The 13,485-nt window shown below is 35.6% G+C and overlaps 1 protein-coding gene and 1 pseudogene across 5 annotated transcripts in view; both read right to left on the bottom strand.

The window, feature by feature from the left end:
- Positions 1 to 13,485, bottom strand: part of CDK17 (cyclin dependent kinase 17) — a 122,215-nt gene that overhangs the window by 20,882 nt on the left and 87,848 nt on the right. For all 5 annotated transcript variants that reach the window (NM_001170464.4, XM_017019407.3, NM_002595.5 and 2 more), the window contains exons 5-6: positions 11,946 to 12,071; positions 1,198 to 1,254 (exon numbers count right to left, since the gene is read on the bottom strand). In NM_001170464.4, the coding sequence (NP_001163935.1) occupies positions 1,198 to 1,254; positions 11,946 to 12,071 (183 nt within the window). The remainder of the gene's footprint in view (positions 1 to 1,197; positions 1,255 to 11,945; positions 12,072 to 13,485) is intronic.
- Positions 4,269 to 4,407, bottom strand: RNU4-24P (RNA, U4 small nuclear 24, pseudogene; annotated as a pseudogene).

Genomic DNA, 13,485 nt, shown 5'->3' on the forward strand with positions numbered 1-13,485 from the left:
AGAAAAACACACAATGATCAGCCATGGCTTTTCTTACAGTAAACAGGACTTTCAGTTCATATGCACAGCTTCCATACTTCTGTAACACTACAGAGTGCCTCAAGAGTATAAAAACATAGACAGAATATTTACTTTTTGTACCTTATTTTAGATTAACAATTAGATCAATAGCTTTAAAATCAAAGGTGCTTTACCTGCAATGGTATATGGAGACTGATGGACACTAATTGAACATATTAATTGAAAAATGAAAACATAATGTACATATTGTTAAATGATAAATTTTTTTTTTTTTTTTTTTTGAGATGGAGTTTCATTCTTTCGCCCAGGCTAGAGTGCAGTGGCACAATCTTGGCTTGCTGTAACCTCCACCTTCCGGTTCCAAGCGATTCTCCTGACTCAGCCTCCCGAGTAGCTGGGATTACAGGCGCCCGCCACCACGCCCAGCTAATTTTTGTGTTTTCAGTACAGACGGGGTTTCACCATGTTGGCCAGGCTGGTCTCGAACTCCTGACCTCGTGATTCACCCGCCTTGGCCTCCCAAAATGCTGGGATTACAGGCGTGAGCCACCGCGCCCGGCAATCATAAAAATTTTACCCATGTTTCTAGACTTTTCAGAATCTTTGTACATTAACTCTCCTTTAAAAAACAAGGATCTCTTCTATTATTGCCAGGACAGCCCTCAAGCTCCTTTAAGCCTTCCCTATTAACTATTGTTTTCTTTGCCCTTTCCTACTATAGGAGGTAGGCCATTTCTAAATCAGTAGTACTAGTAGTAAGTTCAAGAAAACCAAGATCTTAAGAATTTCCGTAACCTTCAAAAAATGTGTTTTTATCTTTATTCTGATTTTTCACAGGTCTGAACTCATGCAATTTCCCATGGTGGCACAGACAGTAGACTGGCAGTAGACTAAGTGACAAATGCCTACTTTGTTATTAAGAAAACATAATACTTTCTGCTTCAATAAAAATTTCAAAGCTATAAAAAAAATTCATTTCCTCTCAAACTGATGGGATAATTTCAAGAATTGAAGACTCTAACTCCTAGAAACTCTGTTACCTTTCCAGAACAAGTATATAATCTTGTAGACATCAGTACTTACGTTTTTTCCAGGTTAACAAAAACCGTGGAGTAACAGAGTTTGAATGACGAATAAGAAAAAAATGTGTCTTACATTTTTGAGATATTTACTTACCTCTCCAAGCTTTTCCAATTTGATGTAGGTTTCCATTTTTCCAAAGCCAATTTCTGACTGAAAAGTAAACAATGAAAAATGTAGTATTTACTTTTTTTTTTTTTTTTTGAGACAGCATCGTCTCACTCTGTTGCCCAGGCTGGAGTGCAGCGGCACAATCTTGGCTTACTGCAACCTCCACCTCGCGGGTTCAAGTGATTCTCCTGCCTCAGCCTCCGGAGCAGCTGGGATTACAGGCACGCAGCACCAAGCCCGGCAAATTTTTGCATTTTTAGCAGAGACAGGGTTTCAACACATTGGCCAGGCTGTTCTCGAACTCCTGACCTCAAGTGATCTGCCTGCCTTGGCCTTCCAAAGTGCTGGGATTACAGGCGTAAGCCACCGCGCCCAGCCTTGTATATATTCTTAAAGTTTCAATTCATCTCTTCCTCAACTTCTGAAACTTTCCCACTCTAAAGAATGACTAAGAATAGAAAAATCTGATTATAATCAAATGGTTGAATATCTATCAAGTTTTAAAATAAACCCAATGTTGGAACATTCAAAGGTTCAAAAATATCAAAGTTCACAATCAAAATTGTCAACCCAACCTTTATATATACACAGTTAACATTCTGTCATGAAAAATATTTGGTTTTATTCTAAGATACCACAGGCATTTTAAGATACTAAAGAATCTTATCAAGGATAACTACTTGGGATTTTCTTTTTAACAAAATTGCAAAATAAATAATTTTCCTATGTATTTTCTCCCTCACCAATCTGAATTCCCAAGGAAGTCCTGCAAACAACAAAATACTATTTGTTTCAGGCTTTCCAATCAAAATACAATGAAAAAGACAACTGAAAATCATGCTCTTCTATGGATCAGGAAGTGGCAAACATAGAAGCAGCAATGTAAGTCTAATTCTGGCTACACCCCCCCTCAACACTCGGCCAAAAAAAAAAAAAAAAAACAAACAAACCCACAACAACAAGAGAAAATGCTTTAAAAGTGAGTTCTTAAAAGCCTTGCTTTTAAAACTTGAGCTCGCCTGACTATTGTGTATGGAGATGATAAACAGGGTACATGAAATATACCTAAATATGTAATACAAACACAATATTTAAAATGAAAAAGAAAAAACCTTAACACAAAATTTAGGAAAATTTGTTTTTAGATAGATTGAAAACTAGGGACTGAGAGAGCAGAAATATTTTAAAAAGTAAAACAGAATGGGAAAAGAATTTTCTTAAAGTTGCTTTCTAGTACCCCTTTATAGATAATGGAAAAGGTAATGATAATCTAAAGAAAGATCCACTTGCTTAGAATGGTGCTAATGCCCTTAAATAAAAAGCCAGTTAAAGGAAATAATGTTTTTTAATACATAATCTCAGTTCTCAAAGGTGTATAAATTATGCCAGATGATTAAACGTTGTGATTTAGTCAAACTCTAGAGGTCTAAATACGCAATTTTCCTTGGAACTGTGGAATAAAATTAAAATAATCCTTGGTAATTAGACTTGCATCACTTACCATTTCAGACAATAGGATAAATTATCCAAAGCTGAATGGCCAAAAGTAGCAGAGGCCCCTCAAAATAACTGTTTTTATCTTTTTGTTACAATGATATGTATCATATTAAAAGCCATGTGGAAAACTGCACGTCCAATAGTACTTAATTCAATTTTAGTAAACTAATTAAAACTTTGGTCACAGGTATTATTGAATGAATGAAAAATTATTTTTGCATTCTATGACATTTTCCTATGACGTTTTTCATAAAACATTAAATTTTAAAAATGAAGTTTTACGACCATCATACACTATTCATCCATGTATTGTCTTGAACATGACTCAGTATTAAGTCCTTCGCTTTCTAGTATCAATAACTATGCAAAATAAAGAAGTAAAACTACAATAGATAACATTTTTAAAATACAAGTGAAGTTTTTAAAATCAGTATGAAAAACATGGCAAATAGCCCACTATCTGGTACATGACAGTCTGATTACGAATAATCTTTTAATTTATATATGTTTTATATAGCCTATTTATATATGATCTTAAATACTTTACTCCATAAAAAAGGCTACTTGCCAAGATCACAGAAACTAATAAAATATCTTTATTCTGATACTTATCTCTGGAATTTAGGTGCTTAAATTCATGAATATGGAACTACCGCATTTTTGCCATGAATTTTAAGTTTTGTGTCATCTTTTATGGGGGAAAAAACACTATATTGAGAATAAATGCAAACTAGTATGAACAAAAGAATGAATGTTCCTGAAAAAAATATTTAAAATGTCATTATAACAATGAGAAGCACACGGGAAATAAGACTGTAAGCTAGGCATTTTTTCTTCTCAGGAGTAGAGAAATTTTCTTATTAATCCTTTTATCTTAAATGAATGAATACTACTATGTTCTTAAAACATCAAATACACTAGGGTCCAATGGTTACTATGACAAAATGTCGAGGTTTGCTTTAAAGACTATGTAAATGGACTACAAATTAGACTGTAAAGACAAATATGTAAGAGGTTAAGTTTAAATTTGAATAATCAGTCTATAAAATAAACAACACTACTGAATTCCACCCATGCAGGCAGGCAGGCAGGCAGAGAATTCAGACAAAGGCACAATTACACTAGTGAATTGTCTGTCAGATCCTAATTCAAAAAGTAAAAGCTTAGCCCCCAATTTAGTAATTTCCAACTTAGGATTTAATGATTACATCAAAACAGTACTTACTGAATCTTTAAATAAAATTTTTAGAAAATTTTGCTTGCATTTTTATTTGCTGAACACAACAAGATTAACAATAGATATAATGACTAGCTTGTTGACGTGCTCTCCTACAGAAATTATTCAGAGGACAGAGGACAAAGCTCATTTATTCAACATTTACCCAGCACAATGTTAGGTGCTAGAGAAGACAGACATGATTCCCACTTTCATGAGTTCACAATCTAGCCTGAGTTCCATCCTAGATTATTTTAGAATATTTTAAAAGTTTCACAGAAACAGAAATAATAGCTAAAGAAATAGCACAATAAGCTTTATAATGTGTATGTTGTTGTTCCAGTCTCTGCAGAAACTCAAAAATTGCCAATGCCAACTATAATCACAAGTTGTCATGGTGGGGGTATTTGGGAAAAATTTTCAATTAGCAATAACTGTGCCTTGGATAAACCTCGGGTATGATACTATCACTGCTCAAAGCTTATATTTTCATGTAATATAAGAGCCCCCTTAATGCTGCTTTCCAGACAAATGAAGATAATTTTTTCTGATATTTCACTGTTCCAAGAAAATACTTCACTTTTTGACAGCCCCAAGCAAATTCCTATTCAGATGGCTCTTAGAGTATAAACACATGAAAATTCTAAATATATATATAAATTAAATTATAATTTATAATAGTCTTCCTAGAATTCACTGTAACTTGTAAGCAATACCAAGCCTTATGGGAAACTTTTTGTTTACTTTGGATCTAGCAACATAATTACTCTATCACAGGCTGGAGATGCTGTTCTAGCTGAGCTTCAAAACAAATGAAGCACCAGAGGTCCCCCTTATCCACAGGGGATACTTCTAAGAACACCAGTGGATGCCTGAAACAGCAGACAGCACTGAAACCTGTATGTACTAGGTTTTTCCCTATACATATTAAATACACTCCTAAGATAAAGTTTAATTTATAAATTTTGCAGAGTAAGAGATCAACTAATAAAACAAATAACCATAATAATACACTGTAATAAAAGTTACGTGAATGCAGTCTCTATCTCTTGCTCTCAAAATAATCATACTGGCATTGTATTCACCTATCCTCAGACTATGTTTGACCTCACATAACTGAAATTGTGGAAAATGAAACCACAGATAAAGGGGGAAGCTTCTGTATGTACAGAGGATCCATAGATGACATTTTAAGAGTGAGTATATATTAATACATAAGAAACGGGGCCGGGCACGGTGGCTCATGCCTGTAATCCCAGCACTTTCGGAGGCCGAGAAGGGCGGATCATGAGGTCAGGAGATCAAGACCATCCTGGCCAACATAGTGAAACCCTGTCTCTACTAAAAATACAAAAATTAGCTGGGTGTGGTGGTGCATACCTATAATCCCAGCTACTCGGGAGGCTGAGGCAGAAGAATCGCTTGAACCCAGGAGGCGGAGATTGCAGTGAGCCAAGATCGTGCCACTGCACTCCAGCCTGGCGACAGAGCAAGACTCTGTCTCAAAAAACAACAAAAAAGAAACAGCAGGGGAAGAGGGAGGCTTTTTCAAACATTCATTTCCCTCTCTGTGGGAATTACCGAGTTACTGTTAACGAAAGAAATGTGTTTTATCCCTTAGACTTGGTGGGCAGGGGGAAAGACTGAGAATCTCTATTCTACTCAGTCACTTTGTCTTACAAAAATTGCTATTATCATCACCACAATACCACCTTAATCCTGTACTCCTGTACATAATATGCTAAAGGTAAATTCTGTGGGACTTTGAACCTCACTCCCACATTCCATCTTATATTTCTAATTGCTGAGAGATGTAAGGACTTGATTGTATTTTCTCACCTGCTCTGAGAATTAAGAAAGGTCTATATAGTCTATTGGTAAAACCAGGAATGAAGAATCCAAACATTCATTGTTTAGGAAGGCATATGCTCTTAAAATGTATAAACCTATAATTTGAATACAATAAGACAAATTTTTATATATGGATGACCTCCATTATAATTGAAGCTGCACTCAGTCTCACAAAACTTCCACTGGGTATACCATTATCGTAAGGGCAAGGAAGCTCTGATGAATCCTGACTATCTACATATAGGCTTTGCCACTATTCTAATATTTAACTAAATATGTTGACAATGTTTTATTTCTTATCAATCATAAAGGACTACTAAATAGCACGTCACCATCCAATAGCCAATATTTTTAACATGACATATGATCACTAAATGTAATGTGGTATCCTGGAGGGAGTATCGGGACAGAAAAACAACACTGACAAAAAATTAGTGAAATCTGAATAAAGTATGGAGTTTTGTTACTAGTAATGTACCAATGTTGGTTCCTTAGTTGTGACAAATGTATTAAAGTAATATAAAATGTTAATAATATGGTAACTGGGTATGTGGTATAGAAGAACTATATAATTTTTGTAATTTTTTCTGTAAATCTAAAACTAAAATTATGTTTATGTAAATAAAAAGTCACTGGAAAGGATTAAGGTAAGAAATGGGAGACTGAACACACATCAGTTTATAGGGATAACAGATAGTCTTAAGCATCCTGAAAAGATGGGATAGTAAGGGGGACAACTTCTCAAGATTAAAAACAAAAAAGAACAGAATGGGTATATGCATAGGTAGATTTGCAAGTTTGTTATACAGAAAAGGAGGGAGTTTTCGGTTAATGGCCACCCCCTTTTTTTTTGAGACAGGGTCTCTTGCTCTGTCGACAAGGCTGGAGTGCAGTGGTGCAATCATGGCTCACCACAACCTCATCCTCTTGGGCTCAAGTGATCTTCTCACCTCCTACCTACTGAGTAGCTGGGACTACAAAGGTGTGCCACCACGCCTGGCTAGTTTTGTTAATTTTTTGTAAAGATGGAGGTCTCACTATGTTGCCCAGGCTGGTCTTGGACTCCTGGGCTCAAGCAAACCTCCTGCCTCAGCCTCTCAAAGTGGTGGGATTACAGGCATGAGCCACAACATCTGGCCCTCTCTCTTTTTTATGATATAGGAAGAGAGATCATCTGCTTACAGTAAGAGAGGAAGAGTTAATCAGAGAAAGACAGTGGGATAGCCAGACAACACTGGGGATCTATGCGAGATTGATGACCATAAATTTATATTAGACCCATTCAGCCCTACTGTATAACTTTCTCCAGGAAAAATGAATTGTTTCTTAATTCCTACTCAAGCAAAGGTTTTATGTTATTTTTACTACTCATTATATATTGCCATTAGAAAATATGAAAATAGGCCAGGAGAGGTAGCTTACACCTGTAATGTCAGTGATTTTGGAGGCCAAAGCGGGAGGACTGCTTGAGGCCAGGAGTTCAAGACAAGCCTGGATAATATAGTATGACCCTGTCTCTACAAATAATTTGTACAAAAAAAAAAATTATATATATATATGAGAACAACACATTGAAAGTTTAAAACTTTTAGAAGACAAGGCTAAATTTTACATTTTACCTTAAAAAATATTTTATTTTTTAGATTAAGGGTATATTATCCATGGAAAAATGAAGTCTAGTACATGTGAAGAATATTTTTCTTTTCCTACCTCCTTTCTATCCATCCCTAATCTTTACCCATCTCCTTTACACATAAACCAAGGGTCCAGACTTCTATGCTGAAGAACTGATCTCTTTGAAAAAACTTTTACTTTTTAGGTATATAAAGAATATATTATCCACAGATACACAAATTCTAATACATATAAAAAAATGAGTTTCTTTTTCCCACTCCTTTTCCATCCATCCCTAACTTTCACATGCCCTCCCTTCACTGACTATGTTCAAATATAAACCTAGGGTAGAGATTTTCATTTTGAAGAATAATTTTTAATGTATTTCCAAAAAGTATGCTTTACTAAGGTAGATGAATAATGAAATGGATGCATCAGTAAAATCCAAAACATAGCTGGCATGATTTATCTGAAATCTATAAGCCATTTCAGAATTTTCTGAAAAGGGAAGTAGGCAGGCCAGGCGCAGGGGCTCACGCCTGTAATCCCAGCACTTTGGGAGGCTGTGGCAGGAGGATCACCTGAGATGGGGAGTTCAAGACCAGCCTGACCAACATGGAGAAACCCCATCTCTACTAAAAATACAAAATTAGCCGGGTGTGGTGGCGCATGCCTGTAATCCCAGCTACTCGGGAGGCTGAAGCAGGAGAATCGCTTGAACCCGGGAGGCGAAGGTTGCGGTGACCCGAGATCATGCCATTGCACTCCAGCCTGGGCAACAAAAGTGAAACTCTGTCTCAAAAAAAAAGCGGGGGAGGTAGGTAGGAACACTTAACCATAAATAAAAACTTTAATCACTTAGCATTCATTAGAGGGCACTGTTTTTCTTAATATCATGTAGACTGTAAAAGATAGCTCCTAAATGATAGCTTAAAAAAATTACATGGTGATTAAATCACATTTTTACTCCCAATTGGAACAAATACAACCTCAAAATTTATCCTAAGTACCAATCTTTGATAAAAACTGATAGCCGAAGAAAACTTTTGACTTGACAATCAAATGGCAAAATCATCCCAATAAAAATGTCTTGGCCAGGCACAGTGGCTTATGCCTGTAATCCCAACACTGTGGGAGGCTGAGGCAGGTGGATCACTTGAGGTCAGGAATTCAAGACCAGCTTGGCCAACACGGCAAAACCCCATCTCTACTAAAAATGCAAAAATTAGCCAGGCATGGTGGCACATGCCTGTAATCTCAGCTACTAAGGAGGCTGAGGCATGAGAATCACTTGAACCAGAGGCAGAGGTTGCAACGAGCCGAGATCGCGCCATTGTACTCCTGCCTGGACGACAAAGTGACACTCTGTCTCACACACACAGACACACACACACACAAAAAATGTCTTAAGCAGTGATGCTAAATTATGATAATCATATGCTTATACCAAAATCAAGTTTGTGTTATACTTTTTACCATATTTATATACTGGTGAATGTCAAATAACAATGTGCTCATGGTATATACAGCATAAAGTGATTTTATTTTTTAGAGTATGTCACCAAAATATTTTGTAGACTATCTAACTAGAATATCTAATCTGGCCCACAGGGGCCAGATGCTATGGGCGGCTCACACCTATAATCCTAGCACTTCGGGAAACCAATGCAGAAGGACCGCTTGAGCCCAGGCATTTGAAACCAGCATGGGCAACACAGTGAGATGCCATCTCTAAAAAAAAAAAAAAAAAAAAAAAGTTTTTTAATTAGCTGGGTGTGATGGTGTACACCTGCAGTCTTAGCTACTCAGGAGCCTGACATGTGAGGATTGCTTGGGCCCAGGAGTTCAAGATTACAGTGAGCTATGATCGTGCTACTGCATTCCAGCCTAGGTGACAGAGTGAGACCTTGTCTCTAAAGAAAATAGTTCCATTATATAATAATATGTAAAGGCTGGATGCAGTGGCTCACCCCTGTAATCCCAGCACGTTGGGAGGCCGAGGCGGGTGGATCACCTGAGGTCAGGCATTCAAGACCAGCCTGGCCAACATGGTGAAATCACATCTCTACTAAAAATACAAAAATTAGCAGGACATGGTGGCGCATACCTATAATCCCAGCTACTCGGGAGGCTGAGGCCAGAGAATCGCTTGAACCCGGGGAGGCAGACTGCAGTGAGCCAAAATTGCACCACTACACTCCAGCTTGGGTGACAGAGCAGGACTCCGTCTCCAAAAATAATAATAATAATAATAATAATAATAATAATAATGTAAAAAAGGAGATACAACAACTGCTAGCAATCCAAGAGTCATCATCAATTTCTCTTCCTTCAGGTGCAAAGTCCAAGTGGGTATTAGGTGGTATTTTATCCCTTCCTGGTCCCTAGGATTTATGTTCTGCTTTCTATTTCCATCTGATTGCCACATCATCCTTAATTTTGAATACATTCCTAATTCTCCCTGCCTCTAGTCTTTCTCTCTAATTCATTGTTTGTACTTTTCCTAAAGCTATTGCTATGAAACAAAAATGTGACCATGTCAGCCTTTGTTTAAATAAATACCTTTGATGTCTTCTCATTACATGGGAAGAAGTCCAGACTTCTTGGCCTGACCTCTAAGGCTTTTCATTCTGGATCTGTCCTGTCCGTTCAAGCCATAGCTTTTATATTATTCCATATTACCCTTCATATCAGTTCTGATTTCCCAAACATGACATCTACACCCAAACCTCTGGGTTTTAGTTTTAGTACATGAAGTTTCCTCTTCTTACAACACCCTTCATTCATAGGCCGTTTTTGACTGACAAATTTCTGCCCATCCTTCTAGGACCAGCTCAAGTGCTATCTCTGTAAGCTTGTGATTTGCCAAGGCATTTTACTTGCTGCCTCTTTTGTTGTCCCAAAGCACTTTATATGTATCTCTACTACAGGACTATAGTCATCCAAAAGAGATTCTCACATAAACAATCACCTGAATTTACATTAAAGTGATACTGCAATAAGAAAAGTTATCCTTTGAATAAATGGTGCTGGGTTAATTACTAAATATTAAGAAAATATATTTGTAAGACATGTAACTGACAAAGGTCCTGTATATAAAGTATACTTAAAAATTCGTATAAACCAATAAAAAAGACAGAAAACCCAATAGAAAAAAGAAGAAAAACAGACTTGGGTAGTTAATTCACAAAAGAGAGTATCTAAATATAAACATACAATAAACATACGATGAATAATAAACACACAGAAAGGTGTTCAACTTAGTCATCAGAGAAATGCAAAATAAAACCAAGAGACCACTATCAACTTGCTAGAAAACTTAAAATAATAATTTTTAAAAGACATTATCAAAAGTTGGCAAGGAGAACAACCAGAACTATTATATGCTAGTGATATACGTATAAGTTGGTACAACCACTCTGGAAAGCTGTTGACAGTATCTAGGGAAGCAGAATATAATGCAACAATTCCACTCCTAGGTAAGCACTCAACAGAAATGCTTACATGTTAACCAAAAAACATGCACAGGAATGGTGATAGAAGCATTATTTGGTAATAGCCAAAAACCGAAAACAACCAGAATGCCCATCGATAGGAGAATGGATGAAGTACAGTACACTCATAAATGGAATACCATGCAACAATGAAAACGAATTATCTATAATTACATGCAAAAATAGGGCTGAAACTCACAAACATAACACTGAACAAAAGAAGCTAACAACAAAAATAATACATACTGTATAACTTCCATACATACTGGGATACATATTGTGCAATATATATATACAAACTTTGTATAAGTATATAATTCTGTATATCTACATAAAATATATTTTAATATAATTACATATTCATAATTACACAAAGCTCAGACGTTTTAATAAGGATAATCAGAAAGAGAATATTACACATTTAAAAAACAAATAAGAATATATGTGAATGGGATTTTAGAAGATCCAGATACCAAAACATACTATAAAAACAGTATGATCAGAACAATGTCACACATATGGGTAAAACTAATCTTTAGCATCAGAAGGCAGAGAGTATGGCTACAGTTGAGGAAGTGAGGAATACTAAGTAAAGAGAAAGGGAACAGAAGGGGGTTTCTGGGATTTCTGAAATTTTCTTTTACTGATCCAGGTACTGGTTACACAGGTATATTAACATTTCAAAGGTTCGTTGAGCTGTACAATTATGGTTTGTGTACTTCTCTGTATATCTAGTATATATTAATACATGTTTATTTATCCAGCACATATCTAGTGTATCTATATATCTAGTATGTATTTATCTACCTAGCATGTATTAATAACATTTACCAAAAATAAAATATACCTTAAATCCTATTCCAATATGCATCCTATTGAATGCATCTTAAGGACTCCAATAAACCTTTAAGAATGGAAAATAATAAAAATCGAGAAGGCAATATAATAAAATTTAGCTATTCTAAAGTCAAGTATAAAAATTAATTTAAAATGTTTACACCCAGAAGCAGCAAACAAGCAGATCTGATTGATGGTGGAGGTATAGGAGACCAAAAACTTACTAAGGAAGCTCTACGAGACCTTCGACTCATTGGTTGGTCAAATGGTGGACTGTTTATCTGCAACTTTTCAAGATATCCATCAGGTATTCTGATGTCTGCAGGCAGTGATAACCGCTTATTTAAATCCTTAAAAAAAAAAAAAGGTAATCCAAAATAGTAAAGGCAAGGCATTTGGCTTTTGTATTCACAGGCTCTAACATATTATTTCTTAGTGATAAGTAATTGTAAAGTTTTATTGCAGTTGCAAAGTTACCTACATTGATTATATGTAATATACTCATGGCAAAAACATTTACTGTAAGCAAAAGTATACAGCGAAGTGTTACAGAAATGAAATTTTGCAACCTCAGTAATTTTTGAGTCCTTTCACTGGTAAATTCAACTTGAAATTTACTTTAAATTTATTATACCATATAGTAACATTAGGCAAACACTACCACAAACTCTGTGATCAGTTTAAATAACTAACCAAGTAGACATTATATGATCTTGTATGCAACATGGGGAAAGAGAATTGTATTTATTACTGCCATGTTAATGGCATTTCTACTTTATTTAATTATACAATGTGAGCTGGGATAAACTTGAAAAGAATCTTGCCTATATCATTGTATCAAGAAATTTAAGCCCTATAAAAAGAAATTCCTCCCATTCATAACAGCAGCCAAACCATGAAACGGAATGGAGAGGTATAGGAACTGCATAAATATTTACTGAGAAATATAAGACTTAAGTATAAAAACATACAATGCCACCAAATGGTAAGAATAAGTAAGGAGAAGATACTGGTCCTCCCTATATTAATTTTATAAGTTATATAACCACTAAGAAATCACAATAAGCTTATTCTTAGAACAAAATAAAATGCCTAAAATGTATCAATAGAATAAACAGAAAAAATCCAAAAACATTCTAAAATAAGAAAGAGTATATGTGTATATGGGGGAGGGATACAGAAAGAAGTCTTTCCAGATATTAAAATATACTACAGGTCAGGCGCAGTGGCTCAAGCCTGTAATCCTAGCACTTTGGGAAGCCAATATGGTGAAACCCTGTCTCTACAAAAAATACAAAAAAATTAGCCGGGCATGGTGGTGTGTGCCTGTAGTCCCAGCTACTTGGGGCTAAGGCAGGAGGATCACTTGAGCCCAGGAGGTTGAGGCTGTGGTGAGCTGAGATCCCACCACTGTACTCCAGTCTGGGTGACAGAGTGAGGCCCTGTCTCATAAACCAGAAAAAAATATATACTATAAAAAGAATATAATCTAGAGCATGCCTCCTTGGTGGTGGGGAAACAAATTATAGCTCAACGAAGAATGAGAAACTCCAGATACAGACCCTAATACTAAATAAAACAAATGATTTTAAAAAATCATCTATAAGGTGAAGAAAAATAAGAAATATTTTCATTAGTATTGTGTCACATAAATATATCGTTGATTTCAACAAGTGAAAATGTTAATTTATCATTTAGAAAACTGATAAGATTTCCTTAACTGATTAAGAAGAATCCTTTTATAATGAAAATATAATCAACCAA

This window comes from Homo sapiens, chromosome 12 (assembly GCF_000001405.40).
Source record: "Homo sapiens chromosome 12, GRCh38.p14 Primary Assembly".
Classification (NCBI taxonomy): Eukaryota; Metazoa; Chordata; class Mammalia; order Primates; family Hominidae; genus Homo; species Homo sapiens.